This window comes from Homo sapiens, chromosome 3 (genome assembly GCF_000001405.40).
Source record: "Homo sapiens chromosome 3, GRCh38.p14 Primary Assembly".
NCBI classification, from domain to species: domain Eukaryota; kingdom Metazoa; phylum Chordata; class Mammalia; order Primates; family Hominidae; genus Homo; species Homo sapiens.
In genome coordinates, this window is record NC_000003.12 from 32,705,290 (window position 1) to 32,728,807 (window position 23,518).

At 40.2% G+C, this 23,518-nt stretch overlaps 1 protein-coding gene across 15 annotated transcripts in view; it reads left to right on the forward strand.

The window, feature by feature from the left end:
* CNOT10 (CCR4-NOT transcription complex subunit 10) overlaps positions 1-23,518 on the forward strand; it is an 88,688-nt gene that overhangs the window by 20,102 nt on the left and 45,068 nt on the right. For 14 of the 15 annotated variants that reach the window (NR_046352.2, XR_007095661.1, NM_015442.3 and 11 more), the window contains 7 exons: positions 3,381-3,531; positions 7,938-8,080; positions 10,936-11,022; positions 11,865-11,948; positions 14,825-14,942; positions 20,161-20,310; positions 22,379-22,581. Coding sequence is in view for 13 of the 15 variants with exons in the window: in NM_015442.3 (NP_056257.1) it covers positions 3,381-3,531; positions 7,938-8,080; positions 10,936-11,022; positions 11,865-11,948; positions 14,825-14,942; positions 20,161-20,310; positions 22,379-22,581 (936 nt within the window). In the remaining 2 variants the exon portion in view is untranslated. Of the gene's footprint in view, positions 1-3,380; positions 3,532-7,937; positions 8,081-10,738; positions 10,846-10,935; positions 11,023-11,864; positions 11,949-14,824; positions 14,943-20,160; positions 20,311-22,378; positions 22,582-23,518 lie in introns of those variants that run through there. The other variant, XM_011533567.3, reaches the window with a different exon arrangement.

The following is a 23,518-nucleotide window of genomic DNA, read 5'->3' on the forward strand; positions in this document are numbered from 1 at the left end:
ATATGATTAATCCTAATGTCAAGTCGTTTTAGCATTTGGATCAGGAGATGATTGATTAAATAGAAGATATTCTGCTTTGTATCTGGCTTGGGGCTTGAATTGGGGATTGGTCTGGTGATAATGGCAATGTTTCTTGAATCCTGGGGCTAGACTTTTGGTGTTCAAGAGGGCTGATAACAGTGATGGTGCTGATAGGATCAGCTAGCATATGTTAAGTGTTCACTGTGTGACAGGGCTCTGCCAAGCGCTTGTATGCAACTTCTCAGCTTGTTCTTCTCAGTAGCCCTATGAAATAGCTATATAATTTTTCTTATTTTAAAAGTGGAAAAGCCAAGGCACAGATAGCTGTGTAAATTGTCCAAAAACACAAAGTTTTTGAGTAGTAAGAGCTACATGAACTCAGTTGTATTTAACTCTATAGCCTGTAATTTTAGTTACTGCTTCATGCTGTTAGGGAGTCATGAGACCTTTCCTGTAATCATGAGTACCATGATACTCTATAGTATCACCCTAAAGTGTGACACAGGTAGAGAAGCAAGTTGTCCCTTCAGGCTCTCTGTAATCCTTTATAGGCATAAAGTAATTTTTAAACCCCATTAAAATTCAAAAATGAGAATAATAGCTACCATTTATTGAATGCATACTGGGTGCCAAATTCTGTATTAAGTGCCTTTTATGCCTTATCTCATATAATCCTCACATTCAACTCTTGAGGCAGTAGGTGCTTATTATCTCAGTTTTAAAACCAGAATTTAGGAAGTCTAATTTAAATTTACACAACTAGGAAGGGGAAGAACAGATTTAAACCAGGCCTTCTGACTCTTGAGCCTGTTCTCCTACCTGTCTCAGTCTTCATAAATTTGTATGTCCTCACGTTTCCTCATTACTCCAGTATTATTACTGATGATTTTATCTAGTGTTCCAGAATCAAAAGAAAGATGATGCTTACTGATAATCTAGTACATGCACCCTATGACCCCATAGACAGTTTCTTCCAAGACAAATTTGTTTGGTTTTTGAGAATAAGTTCAGCCTTTAAACTTTTTTTGAATAAGCAATTCCTGCAAACTTCCAGTTAGGCCAAAAAAACTTTGTGAAGTTCTTTCACTAGCTTTTATTGTTTATAAGGTTTGTTAGGGCCTTCCAACTCTTGAGTTTCCTAGAAGTGTTTGTACTTGTGGTTACTGACTTCTTTAAATCATACTTCTGTTCGCAGTCACATCGGGCACAGTGACACACCTTTTCAACCTATTCCATTTTAATTAGCAAACGTCTAATTTCACTTAATGAGTAGTTTTTCTTTTGGCTGGAGCAGTTACTAGACTATTTTGGTGAGTCATAGAATATGTGGCAAAGTTATTTGTGTGATAATTATTCAACCATTGCTGAATCCAAAACGCCATAGTTTATCTAAAAGCTTTTCTGGCTAAACTCTTCTTAACTCAGTCTCTCTCCATTACATAACTACAGAAAGAGTTGCCTTTGGAAATTGAGTTTTCACTGTTTGAAGATACTGTTTTTAATCTCTTTAAGATAGTGACTTGATAAGTGAAGATTATAAAAAGTTCCCAAACTCATTGAGATGCACATGTTGGTCAGCTAGGACCACTTGCTAACATTTGAACCATGTCAAGCTTAACCACGTGGGTGGTTGACGTCTGCTGAAGTCCAGTTACAAAATTTACAATTCATTGTGTGTAGTGAACCTTCAGGTTCCTTGCCATTAGTCAAACCAAGGCTGTTAAATCCATGTACTGTATATCAGAGTTCTATGGAAGTGTTGGTCTTAGAGTTAATTACTTAATATTGAACAATAATTTATTGCAATCTTCATAATGGCAAAGGTTAGTTTTAATACAAGTAGACTTCCAGTTTCATGTGTTACATGGAATTGTGCAATGGTTGTAAAGCTTGATTAAAATTTAAAAGCCCATTGCTACAGCTTACATAAGGGGGTATACAGTTTGAGAATGCAAAGTGTCATGCTTTTTTTTTTTTCTTTTGTGTCAGTTACAGATGTTAGCCTTTAGTGAAGCCCATAAAAGCCTTTTCTAACCATCATGTGTGCAATAATATATTTTTATTATTGAGTACTTTAAAAAAATCTATTCTTTTTTACGGGAACGAAACCTGAAAATATACTTTCTAGCCCTATGGCCTTGGGCAAGATAATTAAGTTTTCTGTGCTGGTTTCCTTATGTATAAAGTGGAAATGAAATTATCTATGTCCTCGGCCAGGTGCGGTGGCTCATGCCTGTAATCCAAGCACTTTGGGAGGCCGAGGTGGGCAGATCGCCTGAGGTCAGGAGTTCAAGACCAGCCTGGCCAACATGGTGAAACCCCATCTCTACTAAAAATACAAAATTAGCCAGGTGTTGTGGTGCATGCCTGTAGTCCGAGCTACTCAGGAGGCTAAGGCAGGAGAATCACTTGAACCCTGGAGGTGGAGGTTACACTGAGCTGAGTTCGTGCCACTGCACTCCAGCCTGGGTGACTCCATCTCAAAAAAAAAAAAATTATCTATGACCTTGAGGTATGGTGAGGATTAACCTGTAAAAGTTTTAACATAGCAAGTCTGGCACATGGTAAATAGTTAACTATTTTTGTTTTGTTTGATACAGAGTCTCGCTGTGTTGTTCAGGCTAGAGTGCAGTGATGTGATCTTGGCTCACTGCAGCCTCTGCCTTTTGGATTTAAGCAAGTTTCCTCCCTCAGCCTCCCGAGTAGCTGGGACTACAGGCACGTGCGACCACACCCAGCTAAATTTTTTTTTTGTATTTTGTATTTTTAGTAGAGACGGGGTTCACCATGTTGGCTAAGCTGGTCTCAAACTCCTGACCTCAAGTGATCTGCCTGTCTCGGCCTCCCAAAGTGCTGGGATTACAGGCATGAGCTGCCACGCCCGGCCAGCTATTATTAATGTTTAAATTTTACCTTAGTTTTTACAAAATGAAATCAAACTATGAATACTACGTGACATTTTTATGGGAAAGGTCATTTTGAGTTTGTTGCACGCCTGGTGTAGCCTCTTGTAGGTTGTGAGACTAGGAGATGGGAATCCTACTCAGAAGTGGTGTTACCAATTGAAACAGGGAAGATAGCTTCACAGTGACAAGGAAGATAATTGTCTAGCCATGTGCTGGGTACTTAATAAAGTCTCATGAAAACATTTTACCTAAAATTTTATTATGTGTGGCACAGAAGAATGAAAATAATTTTTAGTATGTGAGAGTAATTAAAATCTAAAGATACTGTTGAAAGTATGGAAAAATTCAGAATAAGAATGTTGGCCTATGTTCCTTTTTATTCATATGAATTCTTTCACTTTTGCTTTTTATTTCCTTAATGTTAAAATATAACCTCTGTTGATTGCTTTATAGGTCCACTCAGCTGTTGAAGAAATGGATGGATTAGATGATGTTGAAAACAGCATGTTGTACTATAATCAAGCAGTCATTCTTTATCATCTGCGGCAGTATACAGAAGCCATATCAGTTGGTGAAAAACTTTATCAGTTCATAGAGCCTTTTGGTATGTTATCTGTCAAGTCAAAAATTTCCCTATCTTCCCTATACTTGCAGAATTCTCTGGTACTTTTACCTAGATAACCTAAATCCGAGAAGTCCATGCCAGTATTCAAAGAAAAGCCGTATCAGCTTTGCTTAATGGTTAGAAAAGATAAAAATGTAATCCAGGTTTTCTTTGAGTGTCCCTTCCCAAATTTTGAAGATAACTGTTAAAAATGCTGTTGGAAAGTGCTGAAAACACTTAGTGATGTTTGTGGGGTTTTTGCTGTTTCAACACTATTTTAGTGTACCTGATCCTTTCTTACTTTAGTACATTAAGGAAGTAGCATTTTGGAATGTTAGGGGACAGTGAGGTATTTCATTTTTGCCCTTTGCCTTACTGAAATTTTTGGTGGTAATTATGGAGTAGGAAGTATAGAACAGAGTTAGTTTTTTGCTATCTTAATTAGCTTACTAACCTCAAGTAGGAGTAGCAAGAAAAGTAAGGGCAAAGGAAAAAAGAAGAGCAAAGGAGAAAGCTAGACCCAGGAAATGGTTGTTAGAGAAGGCTGTTGGTTTCTAGCCCACAAGCAGTCAAATTCCATTTGTGAGTTACATTTTTGTCTTTTTTTTCCATAATTGCTTTCTTTTACATTCAAAACACAAATGAGAATTCCTAATTTATCAGGAACGCCTGATTGCTCATGTGGTTACCACAGGACAAGTGGTGGGGTATGATAGCGCTCTGTGGTTCTTTGGGAAGAGGTAGAGAGTCCCCTTTTGCTGACAGCTGGTTGAACAGCTGATTACTATGGCTCCAGAGACCCATTCTGAGGTGCTTCTCTTCTTTCCCTCAATCCTGAGAGCTTGGTAGCTGGACAGACTGGGCGGGAGAGACACCAGTGGTAAGGGATTATGTAATTAGTGACCAGGTCCTTCTGTATAGCTAGAAATCAGAGTTACACTTTTAGGACTGTACACATTTTTCTGTAAAGTTACTGTTATTGATGCTTCTTAGAATTTCAATATGGAGAAACTGCCTTTAAAGGCAGCTATTAAAATATAAATATGCCCAGCGCAGTGGCTCACGCCTGTAATCCCAGCACTTTGGGAGGTTGAGGTGAGCAGATCATCTGAGGTCAGGAGTTGGAGACCAGCCTGATCAACATGGGGAAACCCCGTCTCTACTAAAAATACAAAATTAGCCAGGTGTGGTGGCACATGCCTGTAATCCCAGCTACTCAGGAAGGCTGAGACAGGAGGATCACTTGAACCCGAGAGGCCGAGGTTGCAGTGAGCCAAGATTGCACCACAGCATTCCAGCCTGAGCAACAAGAGCAAAACTTGCTCTCAAAAAAAAAAAAAAAAAAAAAAGAGAATTTCCTGAATTCATGAAATCCTGTTAATCTGCACTATGGCTGAACAGAATATATTAATAGTAATCAACTAGTCAGTATTCACATTCATTTTTCTTTTATGGCTTTTTTTTTTTTAAACTTTTACTGCTTGGATTTTTTTTAAAGACTGTTTTTTTAGAGAAGGTTTAGATTTACAGCAAAACCAAGTTTCCTCTTGTACAGAGATTTCCTGTGTGTCCTCTGCCCCAACACATCCATAGCCTCCCTCATTACCACAATCCCTCAACAGTGTGGTGCATTTGTTATAATTGATAAACCTACATTGATACATCATAATCATCCAAAGTTCATAGTTTACGTTAGGGTTCACTCTTGGTGTTGTATGTTCTATGTGTTTGGACAAATATATTCATTATAGTATCATACAGAGTATTTTTCACTGCCCTAAGAATTCTGTGTTGTGCCTGTTCATTCCCTTTCTACCTATAACCACTGATCTTTTTACTGTCTCTACAGTTTTGCCTTTTCTACAGTGTCAAACTTGGAATCATAACTACTCAGCTTCTTTCTTCTTTTTTTCTTTTTGAGATGGGGTCTCTTTCTGTTGCCCAGGCTGGAGTGCAGTGGCGTGAACTCCACTCACTGCAACCTCCACCTGCCAGGCCCAAGCGATCCTCCCACCCCAGCCTCTTCAATAGCTGGGATTACAGTCACGCGCCACCACACCCAGCTAATTTTTGTATTGTTTTGCAGAGACTGGGTTTCACTATGTTGCCTAGGCTGGTCTTGAACTCCTGGGCTCAAGCCCAGCACCTTGGCTTCCCAATGTGCTGGGATTACAGGTGTGAACCACCATGCCTAGCCAGTACTCAGATTCTTCATACAACATATGCTAATTGAGCACATGGTCCAATACTGTGGGCCAGACACTGTTCTGGGTCTGGAGATAATGCAATGAATGAAATACAGAAACTCTTTACCCCCGTTAAGCTTCTATTCTAATAGGAGAGAAAGCAACATAATAAAAAAACAGCCATCCCTTGGTATTCAAGGGAGATTGGTTCTAGGACACCCCTCTTCAGATACCAAAATCTGCTGATACTTAAATCCCTTATATAAAATGGTGTAGTATTTACATACAGTCTCTGTGTATGTCCTCCTGTACATTTTAAATAATCGCTAAATTACTTATAATACCTAATACACTGTAAATGCTATGAAAATGTTTTTATACCATATTGTTTAGGGAACAATGATGGGGAAAACGTCTGTACATATTCAGTGCAGATGCAACAACTTTTTTTTTTCTTCTAACATTTTCAATCTGAGGTTGGTTGAATCTGTGGGTGCAGGTCAGATACAGGGGGCTGGCTGTATACTGAATGCTATGAAGTAAAGCTAAAATTGAGTGAGAATGTAGAGATTGACTGGGGATGTTTTAAGTAAGGTAATCAAGCAAGGCCTGGGATGAGATGGTATTTGAAACGAGACCTGAATAAAGAAAAGACATTATCCTTGCTACTGTTTAGAGGGAAAGCATTCCCACTGGAGGTAATGGGATATGGAGAAGACTTGAGGTGAGAGGCTGTGTTTGGTGAGAGCAATAGCAGCAAGATCATTGTGACTGGAGCTAGGTAAGGAGGATAATAGGAAATAAAGTCAGAATTAGCCACGGGCAGAAGAGGTAAAGCCTAGGGCAGGGCTTACTGTCTTAGGTGCAGTGAGATTCCCTTGGAGATATATGACCTTTGCACACCAGCTGTGTTAATTTCAGTTTTTTAAATGAATTCCACTCTTTAAAGGCTTTTGAAATTTTCTCTTCTAGACCTTATTTTTCCTTTTATCTTCTTTTTTGAAAGGAAAGATAGTTTTATGTCACACCAGGTTAACTTTCCTCTCTTCATTGGGTTCTTTTTCTTTTGAAGGTCTTGTCTCTTGGCAGTCTCAATTTTCTGATATACTCCAGCCCATACCTTGCTGCTTTTGCTTCTGTAATCAGGTGTTTGTTTGTTTTTTTTTTTTTTCCATCTCCATGACCTAGAAAAGCAATGTATTTCATGGAGTCATAGACTTTTTTAGTTAGAAGGAACCTCACAAGATCCCCTGGTCCACCCTTCTGCCTTCAGGCAGGTAAAATATTCTCCTCATTTGACAGGTCAGCCAGCTGAGGTCTGAAAAGTTAAATGATGTACAGAGACCACACATACCTAGTTAGTGGCTGAATAGGTGCAGATTGAGTATCCCTTATCCAAAATGCTTGGGACAAGAAGTGTTTCAGATTTGGGATTTTTTTTAACTTTGGAATATTTGCATTATACTTACTGGTTCAGTATTCCTACCCTGAGGTCCAAAATGCTACCATGAGCATTTTATTTGAGCATCATTGGTGCTCAACAAGTTTTGGATTTTGAGGCTGGACACAGTGGCTCACACCTGTAATCCTATCCTTTGTGAGGCCAAAGTGGGTGGATCACTTGAGCTCAGGAGCTTGAGACCAGCCTGGGCAACATAGTGAAACCCTGTTTCTATGAAAAAATTAGCCAGGCATGGTGACACATGTTTGTGGTCCCAGCTACTCAGGAGGCTAAGGTGAAAGGATCTCTTGAGCCTAGTAGGCAGAGGTTGCAGTAAGCCAAGATTGCAACACTGCACTCCAGCCTGGGTAACACAGTGAGATACCATCTCAGAAACAAAAAAAGTTTTGGATTTTGGAGGATTACAAATTTCAGATTTCAACATTTCAGGTTAGGAATGCACAACCTCTATTGGAATTCAGGTTTCTTTCCGCCTAAAGTAATATTCCTCATTACATGTGCTAGTGTTTAGTAGATATTTTCCTAAGGAAGATTTAATCACTGGAATTTCTGAAATGAGAGGCCTTGCAGTGCCTAGTAAAATGACATTGTTGGCATTGCAAGTTGCTTTCATTCGTGGCTCTAGGTGATAGGCATTCATTTGAGTAAAGACTTATGCTTTGCTATTTAAAGCTTTGTATACTTTTTTGGAGGGTGGTCTGAAATGTGTGCTTTACTTTAGGTTGTGACTATTCTTTTCTGTGTTTTTTTTCTCCCAGAAGAAAAATTTGCCCAAGCAGTGTGTTTTTTGCTTGTAGACCTGTATATATTAACCTACCAAGCTGAGAAAGCTTTGCATCTTCTTGCTGTCCTAGAAAAAATGATTTCACAGGGTAACAATAACAAAAATGGAAAGAATGAGGTGAGTCTTTAGAGGTGATCAGACTAAAATCTAAAATGTGATTAATTCTCTCTACTTGTTGGTTTACTGGATTAAAAAGAAAGCAATTAAAATATGATTAATGTTTGTGGTTATGAACTATTAACAGCTTAAAGATACAATTTTCATATTATAAGCTTTACCATTTTAAAGTGTAGAGTTTAGTGGTTTTGAGTGTACTCACATTTGTACAACCATTACTACTATCTAATTTCAAAATATTTTTATCACCCCAAAAAGAAACCCTGTACCATTTGCAGTCACTCCCCATTTCCCCCTTTCCTCAGCCCCAAGCAGCCGTTAATCTAATTACTGTCTCTGAATTTACTGTCTGGACATTACATATGAATGGAATCATAATATGCGGCTATTTGTCACTGGCTTTTTTTACTTAGTGTAATGCTTTCAAGCTTCATCCATATTTTAGCATATACTTATTTTTGTTTCATGTACTTCATGCCTTTTGTGGCTGAATAATATTCCATTCATTATATGAATATGCCACATTTTAAAAAATTCTTTATCAGTTGGTGGACATTTGGGTTCTTTTCTACTTTTTGGTTATTATATATAGTGCTTCTGTGACCATTCATGTACAAATTTTTGTGTGGATATATGTTTTCAGTTACATTGGATATAATATTTAGGAATAGAATCACTGGGTTATATGGTATCTTAACTCTATATTTAACCCTATACAAGACTGTTTTACAAAGTGGCTGCACTATTTTAAATTCCCACCGGCCACTTGTGAGGTTGTAATTTCTCCACATTGTTACCAACACTTGTTATTGTCTATCTTTAAAAAAAAATTAGCTATCTTAGGGGGTGTGAAGTGGTATCTTGTTACAGTTTTGATTTTTATTTTCCTAATGACTAAGGATGTACATTGAGCATCTTTTCATATATGAGCTATTATTTTTATAGAATTGAAAGATTGGAATTAAGACAATAGAATCCATAACCTGGATAAACACTATTGCTTTCATTAGGGAAAATTTCATCATTAAAGTTCTTCAAAAAAAAAAAAAAAATACATGGCTGGGCGTGGTAGCTCACACCTGTAATCCCAGCACTTTGAGAGTCCAAGGCGGGTGGATCACCTGAGGTCAGGAGTTAGAGACCAGCCTGGCCAACATGGTGAAACCGTGTCTTTACTAAAAATACAAAAAATAGCTGGGCATGGTGGCACACAACTGTAATTCCAACTACTCAGGAGGTTGAGGCACGAGAATCACTTGAAACTGGGAGGCGGAGATTGCAGTGAGCCAAGATTACGCCACTGCACTCCAGCCTGGGAGACAGAGCAAGACTCAAACTCAAAAATAAAAAAGCATACATTTATGATGTTTAAGCTTCACCATGTTCTGGTGAGAGACTTGGTGCCCAGTATGAGTATATCCTGGGTCTCATGTTTTTCTTTTATTTGTGCTTCTGGTTATCAAGGGATGACCCTTCTTACTTCCGTTTTCTGTCCCTTTGTTTTAAAAGGAGTATTTGCAGGAAACGTTGCCAATACCTTTTTGCCTGTGTACATTCTTGATGTTTAAAAAGAAAATAAACATCTGGCATTACTTTTTTCAATTTAAGTGTGTATTCATAAGGGATTTCAGTTGAATAACCTTAGCATTATACCGAAACATTGTGTAGTAAAATATTTATATTCAGTACTTGTAAAATTTGATTAAATATAATTTAATTTAGCAGATGCTTATGTGCTCTGCCCGGTTCTAAGGTACTCTGCTAGGTACTAAGGTGACAAAAACAAAAACGTTGCAGTCCTTGCTTTCAAGGATCTCATGTCTAGGAAGAGATAAATTGGGCAACATCTGGTCATGGACAAGGAGGAAAGAGGTGAAAGAGGTTAGGGAATGTTTCAAAGGAATTTGGATGTTTGTTTTGGGCCTTGGAAGATGGTTAATAGTTTGACAAGTCAGACAAGGAGGGGTAGAGCAGGATAACCAGCCTGGCAGAGAATATCACAAAAGGTATGAGCTTAATGGTGTGCTGGAGACCTTTCTGGTAATGAAATGAACAGTACCAGAGAAATGCAGAGGAGAGCAGTGGGAGATGATGTTGGCAATATGAGTGTGAGTGATAGCTTGAAGAACTTTGAATACTAGAAAGTTCAAATTTGATATGATTGGCAGTGTTCATAACAGAGAAAGTTTTAAGAAGTGGGTAGATCTGTTCTGGGTTTTAGAAAGATATTCTGAGTTTTGCTTAAAGTAATATTCATGTTTTTTAAAACAAGCCCAGGCTGGCCACAGTGGAGACCCCCGTCTCTATGAAAAATTAAAATTGTAAATAAATAAAACCAGCTCATTATTACGTTCGACTGTGAGCTTCTCATGAGTAGAGCTTCCTGTCACCCACTCTAGACTACTGAACCTCAGTCTCTAGGAGTGGGACCTGGGATTCTGCATTTTTTAAAGACAGGGTCTTGCTCTGCCACCTCAGGCTGGAGTATAGTAGTAGCACAATCACGCCTCACTGCAGCCTTGATCTCCTGGGCTCAGGCAGTCTTCCCACCTCAGCTTCCTGAGTAGCTGGGACTACAGGTACATGGCCACCATGCCCAGCTAATTTTTGTATTTTTTGTAGAGATGCGATTTTGCCATGTTACTCAAGCTGGTCTCGAACTCCTGGGCTCAAGCGATCCGCCCGCCTCTGCCTTCCAAAGTTCTGGGATTACAGGCATGAACCACCATTTCCCACAAATTCTACATTTTGAAAATGCTCTCTAGGTAATTTAGATTAGCTCACTTGGAAATCACTGATTTAAATTATGGTCAAAAATATTTAATTTTGATAAACTTTGTTTCATCACCCTACAGACTGGTAATAACAACAACAAAGATGGATCTAATCATAAAGCTGAAAGTGGAGCTCTAATAGAAGCTGCAAAATCAAAGATACATCAGGTAGTATAAATTTTAAAGGGGGGCAATACATCACATATATTTAATTGTAGTTATGACAAATGAAGCAATGAGATAGATCATTGGAAGCAGTCAATAATTCAAGGTGCATATATTTGTTTGTCTTTTGAAGTATTGTAGTTTAGAAGCACATTTATCCTAAATACATTTTTCTTAAGAGGATAATATAATTTATTTAAATTGCTCTATAAATAAAGTTTGAGAGAAATGGCACGGGAATGTACTGCATGATAAAATCAACTGGAATTTTAAAAAGTCATTGTTAGCCATGTGCAGAAGAGGATTGATAGGATTTTTGCCCGGAACTTGAGTATTTAAGTTTTTTGTTTGTTTTTTGAGACGGAGCCTCACTCTGTCACCCAAGCTGCAGTGCAATGGTGCGATCTCGGCTCGCTGCAACCTCTGCCTCCCAGTTTCAAGCGATTCTCCTGCCTCAGCCTTCCTGAGTAGCTGGGATTACTAGTGCGCATCACCACACCCGGATAATTTTTTGTATTTTTAGTAGAGACAGGGTTTCATCATGTTGGCCAGGCTGGTCTCAAACTCCTGACCTCAGGTGATCCACCTGCCTCGGCCTCCAAAGTACTGGGATTACAGGCGTGAGCCACCACATCTGGCTAAGTTTTTATTCTACCGTGATTTTAGTATTTTGAAGTATATTCGAAGAGTACAGTGAAAATAGCATATTTTCTAAAATTGTAAACTTGATTTAGCAAGTAATTAGTGTAACTATGTTGTAAATAGATTGGGTTTTCTTAACTAGAAAGTAAAACTGTATGTAAATCCACCATAGTTTTAACATACTAACATTTTCCCTTTGACAGTACAAAGTACGAGCTTATATCCAAATGAAGTCTCTGAAAGCATGTAAAAGGGAAATCAAGTCAGTCATGAATACAGCTGGAAATGTAAGTTTCTTCTGGACTTTTGTTTTTCAATTTGTGTCTTTCTTATTTAGACTATGGGTATTGTCAGGTTTAAATAATTTATCTTAGTCTTTTACATATACTGCCAGATATGAACCTTGCTATTTTAAAGTTGGGAAGTAGTAATAATACTGTGTCTATAGTTTAATTTTTTTTTTTTTACTTAAAATTACAACAAGCACTTTTCTATTTTATGTAACCTTCAAAACCACCATTTTAAATAACTGCCTATTTTTCTGTGACTGGTTTATCACAACTCACTTAAACATTTTGCTAATATTAGACATTTAGGTTATTTTAGAATTTTTTAGTATTATACTCAAAACATTTATGGCCAGGTGGTGACTCACCTGTAATCCCAGCACTTTAGGAGGCCAAGGTGGGCGGATCACCTGAGGTCAGGAGTTCAAGACCAGCCTGGTCAACATGATGAGACCCTGTCTCTACTAAAAATACAAAAATAAGCCGGGTGTGGTGGCGTGTGCCTGTAGTCCCAGCCACTAGGGAGGCTAAAGTGGGAGGATCACTTGAACCTGGGAAGCAGAAGTTGCAGTGAGCTGAGATCGTGTCATTTCACGCTAGCCTGGGCAACAGGGTGAGACCCTGTCAAAAAACATTTTTTAAATAAAAAAAAATTTATTAAAAATCTAACAGTCAAATTATAGCCAAAACCTGCCCCTTCCAAGTGACTTTTGGCTTGACAGTACCTTCGATTTAACTGAGATAGAATTACTTCTTCCTTCCACTCCCTCCACCCTAATCTTTCATTGATAATTTTTAAGATGGTGTAGGAAAGAAACAGAATTGTGAACAATCTTGATGCTTCTAGAAAAACTATAAATTTAGAAGTATAAAGTCATGAGAAAATATGGTTAAAAATCTCAGGCAGGATCCAGATTAGTCACTGAGTTAGTTAATATGCTAGTGATTTTTGAGAACAATTGTGGCCTAGACCTGAGCCTAAGAGGGAAAGGCCCAGTTAGCCAGCCACCCATTATCAAACTTTTTTTTTTTTTTTTTTTTTTAATGATAAAAGACATAATTCCTAGCCAGGCGCGGTGGCTCACGCCTGTAATCCCAGCACTTTGGGAGGCTGAGGCGGGCGGATCACGAGGTCAGGAGATCGAGACCATCCTGGTTAACACAGTGAAACCCCATCTCTACTAAAAATACAAAAAATGAGCCGGGCGTGGTGGCGGGCGCCTGTAGTCCCAGCTACTCGGGAGGCTGAGGCAGGAGAATGGTGTGAACCCGGGAGGCGGATCTTGCTGTGAGCCGAGACCGCGCCACTGCACTCCAGCCTGGGCGACAGAACAAGACTCATTCTCAAAAAAAAAAAAAAAAAAAAAGACATAATTCCTGCCTTAAAGGAGACCACAGTCATAGAGGAAAGACAATTGAAAATTAATAGTCATCCTAAATCGGCGAAAACTTCAGGAGGAATAGCTACCACTAAGAATAAGCACTGAAAGCCCTTGTTTCTTTAGTGACCAGAACTTTGGGGTGGGTGGGAGGCAGAGCAAAGGATAAACTAGGATTTAGAAGGAAAGCCTGTTGCTAAATTAAGTGAATAAATAGGCCAGGCGTGATGGCTCATGCCTGTAATTGCAGCACTTTGGAAGGCTGAGACAGGCAGATCACCTGAGGTCAGGAGTTTGAGACCAACCTTGCCAACATGGGGAAGCCCCATCTCTACTAAAAATAAAAAAATTAGGTCGGGCATGGTGGCTCACGCCTGTAATCCCCACACTTTGGGAGGCTGAGGCAGGCGGATCCCAAAGTCAGGAGTTCAAGACCAGCCTGACCAACATGGTGAAACCCCATCTCTACTAAAAATACAAAAATTAGCCAGGTGTGGTGGCATGCGCCTGTAATCCCAGCCACTGAGGAGGCTGAGGCAGGAGAATTGCTTGAACCCGGGAGGCGGAGGTTGCAGTGAGCCGAGATCGCGCCACTGCACTCTAGCCTGGGCAACGGAGCGAGACTCCGTCTAAAAACAAAAACAAAAACAAAAATTTGCCTGGCATGGTGGCGCATGCCTGTAATCCCAGCTACTCAGGAGGCTGAGGCAGGAGAATTGTTTGAACCTAGGAGGCGGAGGTTGCAGTGATCCGAGATCATGCCACTGTACTCCAGCCTGGGTGACAGAGCAAGACTCCGTCTCAATCAATCAATCACTCAATCAGGATTCCAGATGTCCTCCTGGATGGATGTTGAGTCTCCAGAGCTCTCTGCATGCTTTCGTACTCTAAACAGGTAGTACTATCTAGGGTCCTCCACCAGGAGGATTCTTAGGAGAAGTGAAAGGTGATCTACCATTCAAAACGTGATCTTTGGAACAGCAAGATTAGTGCTTGCAAATAAGGCATTCTGTTGAAAATTCTTCTATTTGTAGAATGGCACTTTTTTTTTCCTATTTGGAAAAGTATTTGATTATTTATATCTCTGTAGGTTCTAATGAAAGGTGCATTTGTATCCTAAAAAGTAAGAAAGATCACCAGTCTCTCTAATAACTATTAAAATGAAGGACATAGATTGTGTTGTCAAATTGGTTTTCAGTTAGTAGTGTAGTAGATGAACACAATCAGTTGATAATCTACAGACTGTATTCTTATACATATACCTATATTTATTTTTTCAGGTGGACCCTTAGTAATTATTTTTACAAAGTGCTCTCTGACAAGTTTCAATTTTTTTGATTGTGAGAGCAATGAAAAATTTAGAGACTATATAATTTTTTGTGACTGACTTAATTGATTCATTTATGGTTTTGAACACGTCAGTACAACAGTATAATTAAGATCTTACATTAGGCGTCTGAAAACAAATTATAAGTAACTTTTATATTTTCTCTACAGTCCGCACCCTCTCTCTTTCTTAAAAGCAATTTTGAGTACTTAAGAGGTAATTATCGAAAAGCCGTGAAGCTATTAAATAGTTCAAACATTGCTGAGCATCCAGGATTCATGAAAACAGGTAAAAGAAAATTGTGAAATTTTAACTTTTTTTTGCCTTGCTCTTCTACCCCTTCTTGCTTGTCCACCTCCCAACACCCAGTCTTTTGAGTGATTTATGCTAATTTTTTAATGAAAATGTTTTAATATTTCTGGTGCAAAAATTTCCAGGAATTCTTGTTTCTACTTTAGAAGAAACCTCATTACTTCTTGCTTTCACTTTGCTTTCTTTCTTTTTTTTACTTTTCCAGGTTGGATCGCTTTCCTCCCCTCCCCCACCTTTTTTATTTTTATTTTATTTTATTTTATTTTTTTGGAAATAGGGTCTTGCTGAGTGCAGTGCCACAATCACAGCTCACTACAGCCTCAACCTCCTAGGCTCCAGCGATCCTCCCACCTCACCCTCCCAGGTAGCTGGGACTATAGGCATGCACCACCATGCCTGGCTTATTTATTGTAGAAACAAGGTCTCATTATGTTGCCCAAGCTGGTCTCAAACTCCTGGGCTCAAGTGATCCGCTGACCTCAGTCTCCCAAAGTGCTGGGATTACAGGCATGCACCACTGTGCCTGGCCCAGATAGCTTGTCTTTTTTCTTTAACCTGACTTGCCTGCCCTCCCTCCCTCCCTTCCTCCCTTCCTCCCTTCCTCCCTTCCCTCCTTCCTTCTTTCTTTTCCTTCTTTTCCTTCCTTCCTTCCTTCCTTCCTTCCTTCCTTCCTTCCTTCCCTTCTTCCCTTCCTTCCCTTCCCTCCCTTCCCTCCTTTCCTTCCCTTCCTTCTCTTCCCTTCCTTCTGTTCCCTTCCCTCCCTCTCTTCCTTCCTTCCCTTCCTTCCCTTCCTTTCTTTCCTTTCTTTTTTTTTTTTTTTTTTTGACAGAGTCTTGCTCTGTTGCCTGAGCTGGAGTGCAGTGGCACCATCTTGGCTCACTACAGCCTCCACCTCCCTCCCGGGTTCAAGCAATTCTCCCACCTCAGCCTCCTGAGTAGCTGGGACTACAGGCACGCACCACCATGCTCAGCTAATTTTTGTATTTTTTGGTAGAGACAAGGTTTCCATGTTGCCTAGGCTGTATCGAACTCCTGACCTCAAGTGACCCGCCCACCTCAGCATCTCAAAGTGCTGGGATTACAAGTGTGAGCCACCGCACCTGGCCCTTTCATTTGTTTTTGTAAGATCCTTGGACTTTTGCTTTGTGAAGTGAGACCTAATTTTTCTTTCATCTTTTTTTTTTTTTTTTTTTTTTTTTAGTGAATTACCATCTATACCAGAAAAGTGAGGCCTTTTAAGTAAATAATATGTTTTTACTTTTTTCTGCCATAAAGCCAGTTAATAATATAATTTTTTTCAGTAACTTGCCCAATTAATATGACTTCTTTAGATCATTACCTAGATCAAAAATCTTTCTATAATGCTAGGAAGATAAGTATTATTACATATTCTTTTTTTTTTTTTTTTTGAGCCAGTGTCTCCCTCCGTCGCCCAGGCTGGAGTGCAGTGGCACAATCTCGGCTCACTGCAAGCTCTGCCTCCTGGGTTCGCGACATTCTCCTGCCTCAGCCTCCCGAGTAGCTGAGACTACAGGCGTCTGCCACCGCGCCCGGCTAATTTTTTGTATTTTTTTTTTTAGTAGAGACAGGGTTTCACCGTGTTAGCCAGGATGGTCTCGATCTCCTGACCTCGTGATCCGCCCGCCTCGGCCTCCCAAAGTGCTGGGATTACAGGCGTGAGCCACCGTGCCCGGCCTATTACATATTCTTGCCTCTATTTAGACTAAAAAGTCTTACAAATCCTTTGATACTAATGATAATATGAAAGTAAAAATTGTGACTGTCATTTAGGTTTATATCATCAGTATTTGATGGGGCAGGAGAAGGAAAATCACTTATTCGAGAAATGAGGATAAACTATTGAAAATGTATATTTTGCCTCAAGTTTAAAATGCAAACAATTAATATGTATTTTGGTATGTTTTGTCTTGTTTTTTTTGGATTCTACCCAGATACACGCACAGAATACACATGCAAACATACTGAGACCTTCCCCTATTTACCCTTTCAGTTCACAGGAGTGATGGAGGATGGAGAAAGGCACTTTTTCCTTATAATTCTCTTGTGGGTATTATTTCTGTTCTAAATACCCATTTCTAATTCTGCTCAATTTTAGTGTTTTGTTTTCATTGTCATAGTTTCTCCTCAGAGGTCCACTAACACACAACATGCAATGATCCCTCAAACTAAAAAGATAATATACTTTGAGAAAATTTTGCTTAGGATTTTCTTCATGTAGGTGTCAGTATTGACATTGTCAATCTTTAAAATGAAGGCAGGAGCTGGAAGTGGTGGCTCATGCCTGTAATCCTAATGCTTTGGGAGGCCAAGGCAGGAGGACCAGGAGTTCGAGGTTCCAGTGAATCATGATCATGCCACTGCACTCCAGCCTGGGCAACAGAACAAGGCCTTGTCTCTAAAAATAAATTAATAAATAAAGATGGCCAGGCGTGGTGGCTCACACCTATAATCAATCCCAGCACATTGGGAGACTGAGGCCGACGGATCACTTGAGGTCAGGAGTTCAAGACCAGGCTGGCCAACATGGAGAAACCCCGTCTCTACACAAAATACAAAAATTAGCCAGGCGTGATGGCATGCGCCTGTATTCCCAGCTACTTAGGATCCCAAAGTGCTGGAATTGTAGGTGTGAGCCACCGAGCTCAGTCTAGTTTTCCTCTTTTAAATATTGTCATTGCTTAATTTAAAAATATGTCAGAAGATTACCTTTAGATTTTAAGTGCTAAACAATAAATATCCTGATTATTAATTTTGTCATTCTAGTCAGGCATTTTATGTCATTAAGGGCCATTGTTTTGGAATGTTTGGGTAGCTATTTAGAAAAACAATATTAAAGGCCGGGCACGGTGGCTCACACCTGTAATCTCAGCACTTTGGGAGGCTGAGGCGGGCAGATCACAAGGCCAGGAGATAAAGACCATCCTGACTAACACGGTGAAACCCCGTCTCTACTAAAAATACAAAAAATTAGCCAGGTGTGGTGGCGGGCGCCTGTAGTCCCAGCTACTCAGGAGGCTGAGCAGGAGAATGGCATGAACCCGGGAGGCAGAGGTTGCAGTGAGCTGAAATTGCGCCACTGCACTCCAGCCTGGGCGACAGAGTGAGACTCCGTCTCAAAAAAAAAAAAAAGAAAAGAGAATATTAAAGCTTAGATTACTTTCATTACGCCAAAATAAAATTCAGAGAGATGAAGGATTAACATTTAAAAATAAATAAAAGCAGTAAGATAAAACTTGGATGAATATTTTAATTTTGTGATGGAGAAGGCTTGAGTAAACATTTTCCAAAATCTAAGTACCATAGAATTTAGAAAACATGGCTAAATTTGATCACATTAAAATGTTAAACATTTTATGATTCAAAATGTAAACACACATACACATACTGAACCAAGTCACGAAACAAATGACAAACAGAGGTGGGCAGGAATATTTGAAACAGATGTGACAGAAGGTTTCTATAACATGTAAAACAACTAGTAACCAACAGAAAAAACATCTGTAACCAAATAAAGCAATAGATCAGCCAGGAACGGTGCTCACACTTGTAATCTCAGCACTTTGGGAGGTCGAGGCAGGAGGATCACTTGATTCCAGGAGTTTGCGACCAGCCTGAGCAACACAGGGACCCTGTCTCTGCAAAAAAATTAAAAAATTAGCTGGGCATGGTGGCCCGTGCCTGTAGTCCCAGCTACTCAGGAGGCTGAGGCATGAGGATTGCTTGAGCCCAGGAGGTCGATGCTGCAGTGAGCCCTAATTATGCCACTGCACTGTAGGCTGGGCGATGGAATGAGACCCTGTCTCAGAGAAAGAAAAAAATTAATACGGGTGAAAGACAAGAGGCAACACAGGCTGAAAAATACAAATTCCCAAACATGAAAAGATGCTTAGCTGCAGTGGTATTTAAAGAAGTGTGAATTAAAATCAGTGGAGACTTACAGTTTAATAGACATACTCTGTTCTGTTCCTTTTTTTTTTTTTTTTTTCTTTGAGACAGTCTCATTCTGTCACCCAGGCTGGAATGCAGTGGTGCGATCTCGGCTCACTGCAACCTCTGCCCTCTAGGGCCAAGCAATTCTCCTACCTCAGCCTCCCGAGTAACTGGGATTACAGGCGCCCTCCACTACGCCCGGCTAATTTTTTTTTTTTTTTTTTGAGACGGAGTCTTGCTCTGTCACTCAGGCTGGAGTGCAGTGGTGCGATCTCGGCTTACTGCAAGCTCTGCCTCCTGGGTTCCCGCCATTCTCCTGCCTCAGCCTCCCGAGTAGCTGGGACTACACGCGCCCGCCACCACGCCCGGCTAATTTTTTGTATTTTTAGTAGAGACGGGGTTTCACCATGTTAGCGAGGATGGTCTCCATCTCCTGACCTCGTGATCCGCCCACCTCGGCCTCCCAAAGTGCTGGGATTACAGGCGTGAGCCACTGCGCCCAGCCCAATGCCTGGCTAATTTTTGTGTTTTTAGTGGAGGTGGGGTTTCACCATGTTGGCCAGGCTAGTCTCGAACTCCTGACCTCAAGTGATCCACCCGCCTCAGCCTCCCAAAGTGCTGGGATTACAGGCATGAGCCATCGTACCCAGCCTCACTCTGTTCTTTTCTATATATTCTTGCTATTCACTTAATATGCTTTGGTTGTTTCCATGCATACTTGCTTCCTTGTTTCTAATTTCTACATAATATTTCATTAGTGGATGCAATGCATATACATTATATTACTGATAAACACTTTTTGTCTTTTGCATTTTTGTATCATTTGTCTACAGTTACTAAAAATTAGCTGGGCATGGTGGCTCATGCCTGTAATCCCAGAACTTTGGGAAGCCAAGGTGAAAGGGTTGCTTGAGCCCAGGAGTTCGAAACCAGGGTAGGCAATATAGTGAGACCCTATTTTAAAAATTGTTTTAAAAAAGGAAAAAAAAATCCACAAAATTAGAGTAACAAAATAGGACTGGTTTTTTTAAAATAATTTGTATCACCTTTAATAAAAGAGATTTTAAAAGGAGTTTTAAAATTTTTCAGATATTTCCTAAATTTCAAATGCCTTGTGAACTGTTCTTTAGGGAGTAAGTGGAATGGTAACAGTGTTAACTCGTGCAAGATGAGCCCAATTCTTGTCTGAGGGACATCAACATTAAAATTTTTCTGTGGACAAATTTATTTGCATTTTTTTCAGGTGAATGCTTGAGATGCATGTTCTGGAATAACCTTGGTTGCATCCATTTTGCCATGAGCAAGCACAATTTGGGAATATTCTACTTTAAAAAGGCTCTGCAAGAGAATGACAATGTCTGTGCACAGCTCAGTGCAGGTAGCACTGATCCAGGTAAGCCCAGTACTGGGGGACAGTTTGTATTTACTACTTCAGAAAAGCATGATTTAAAAAGCATGAATGTGGTTAAAATACCCACCATGTAGACTTACATATAGTTAACTCTGATCTTACCCAACAAGTTTGGCTCTGGGGATTTTTAGTAGATATTGCTACTTTGAAGAGCAATAACAAGGTGTTAAGAGTAATTTTGAATTATCCAGAAATTTAAGTTGCATTCCATTTTTCATTGATTTGAAAATGAGTAATTCCCTGTGGTAATGTTATATACCAGAATGTTTGATTAGTCACAACATGACTGTGCCAAACTAGGTTTATTATAGTTTTGTTTTGTTTTGTTTTGTTTTGTTTTGTTTTGAGACAGAGTCTAGCTCTATCACCCAGGCTGGAGTGCAATGGTGTGATTTCAGCTCATTTCAACTTCTGCCTCCTGGGCTCAAGTGACCCTCCCACTTCAGCCTCCTGAGTAGCTGGAACTACAGACACATGCCACTGTACCTGGCTAATTTTTGTGTTTTTTGTAAAGATAGGGTTTCACCATGTTGCCCAGGCTGGTCTGGAACTCCTGGCTTAAGTGATCCTCCCACCTCAGTCTTCCAAGGTGCTGGAATTACAAGCATAAGCCACTGTGCCCGGCTTGTTATAGATTCTTTGCAGAGTTTTACATGTGATACTACTGGCAGCATCTGACGGTCTTTAAGCAAATTCCTGACATTTATCCTTTAATATTCATTATCATATGGATCCTTGATCTGAAATGCCTAAAATCAAACAATTATTTAGCTTTTAAAAATAATAACCTATTTAGGCCAGGGGCGGTGGCTCACGCCTGTAATCCCAGCACTTAGGGAGGCCGAGGTGGGCAGATCACGAGGTCAGGAGATCGAGACCATCCTGGCTAGCACAGTGAAACCCTGTCTCTACTAAAAATACAAAAAAAATTAGCCGAGCATGGTGGCAGGCGCCTGTAGCCCCAGCTACTTGGGAGACAGAAGCAGGATAATGGCGTGTACCCAGGAGGCGGAGCTTGCCGTGAGCCGAGATCATGCCACTGCACTCCAGCCTGGGTGACAGAGCGAGACTCTGTCCATAATAATAATAATAATAATAATAATAATAATAATAACCTATTTAATTGATGGCAAATGTATTATAAATCAAGGTAGACCGAAACATTGAATAGGTTTTATTGTCATGAACACATGACAATAAAATGGTTAACCAAGATGAATTTTTTTTTTTTTTTTTTTTTTTTTCCTGAGACGAAGTCTCACCCTGTTGCCCAAGCTGGAGTGCAGTGGCGTGATCTTGGCTCACTGCATCCTCCACGTCCCAGGTTCAAGCAATTTTCCTGCCTCAGCCTCCCGAGTAGCTGGGACTACAGGCACATGCCACCATGCCCGGCTAATTTTTGTATTTTTAGTAGAGATGGGGTTTCACTATTTTGGCCAGTCTGGTTTTGAACTCCTGACTTCGTGATCTGCCCGCCTTGGCCTCCCAAAGTGCTGGGATTACAGGCGTGAGCCACTGTGCCCAGCTGAAAATTTTAAAAAGTGGAAACTTTATATAGACTCTAAAAATGTTGGCTAGGAAAGATGGCTCATGCCTGTAATCCCAACATTTAGGGGAGGCCAAGGTGGATCACTTGAGTCCAGGAGTTCAAGACCAGCCTGGGCAACATAGTGAGACCCCCCCATCTCTACAAAAATAAAAATAAAAAATAAAAGAGAATAAAGTAAAAATGTAGAAAAGTAGTATAAGGTGCAAAGGAGTGAGAGCGGGTCCCATCACTTATCTTTGCCTTCCTGGAACGTTGTTGCCTGAGGAGCTGGCAAATGAGAAGAGACATCTCTGGCTCTGCTAGCATAGACAACTAAGATGACTCTGGAGAATATTTGTGGGGTTGAGAATGGAGACCACCATTGGCGAGAGCTATTAAAACTCAGATCAGGATTATTGGTGTTAAACATGGTAGTGTCTAAGTACTTAATGGAGTAAATGTTTTCAAGGTTACTATTACTGTAAATCTAATGATGTATTCTTATCTAATTTTTATCACTAGGTAAAAAATTTTCAGGAAGACCCATGTGTACGTTACTAACCAATAAGAGATATGAGTTGCTGTATAACTGTGGAATTCAGCTTCTTCACATTGGAAGGCCTCTTGCTGCCTTCGAATGTCTGATTGAAGCTGTTCAGGTTTATCATGCAAATCCTCGCCTCTGGCTACGGCTGGCTGAATGCTGCATTGCTGCCAATAAGGGGGTGAGTGCTACTTGGGTATCTTTTTAAACCCTGTCTTCTCCCCACTTACTACATGGAATGGTTAAAAAAAAAAAAAAAACCTTGGAAACATACATAAGACATTTCTCTTTTTATTTATTTATTTATTTATTTATTTATTTTTTGAGACGGAGTTTCTCTCTTATTGCCCAGGCTGGAGTGCAATGTTACGATCTCGGCTCACTGCAACCTCCACCTCCCGGGTTCAAGCGATTCTTCTGCCTCAGCCTCCCAAATAGCTGGGACCACATGCACATGCCACCACGCCCAGCTAATTTTGTATTTTTAGTAGAGACGAGGTTTCACCATGTTGCCCAGGCTGGTCTTGAACTCCCGACCTTATGTGATCTAGCCACCTCAGCCTCCCGAAGTGCTGGGATTACAGGCGTGAAATGTATAGTCTTCTCTTCTTAACCACTGGGGGAAATTAGTTTCAAAAAGTCATTTGTTGGCCGTGCGCAATGGCTCACGCCTGTAATCCAAGCACTTTAGGAGGCTGAGGCGGGTGGATCACTTGAGCTCAGGAGTCCAAGACCAGTCTGGACAACATAGTGAGACCTCCATCTCTACAAAAAATTACTGGGTGTGGCAGTGAGCGCCTGTAGTCCCAGCTATTCAAGAGGCTGAAGCGGGAAGATCGTTTGAGCCTGGGAGGTGGAGGTTGGAGTGAGACCAGATAGAGCCACTGCACTCCACCTTAGGCAACAGAGCGAGACCCTGTCTCAAAAAAAATAAAAATAAAAATTTAAAAAGTCATTTGTTAACATTCTCATTCTTGGTAAGTAAGTATGGCAACATTAAAGAGTTGAAGCCAGTGAGAAAGTCATGTATGTTGGAACAGTGGTCTGCTAGCTGCTCCAGGGGTCAGGATACATGCATCTGCTGGCGTAAGAATAGTGTGTAGCCTGGTGATTAGAAA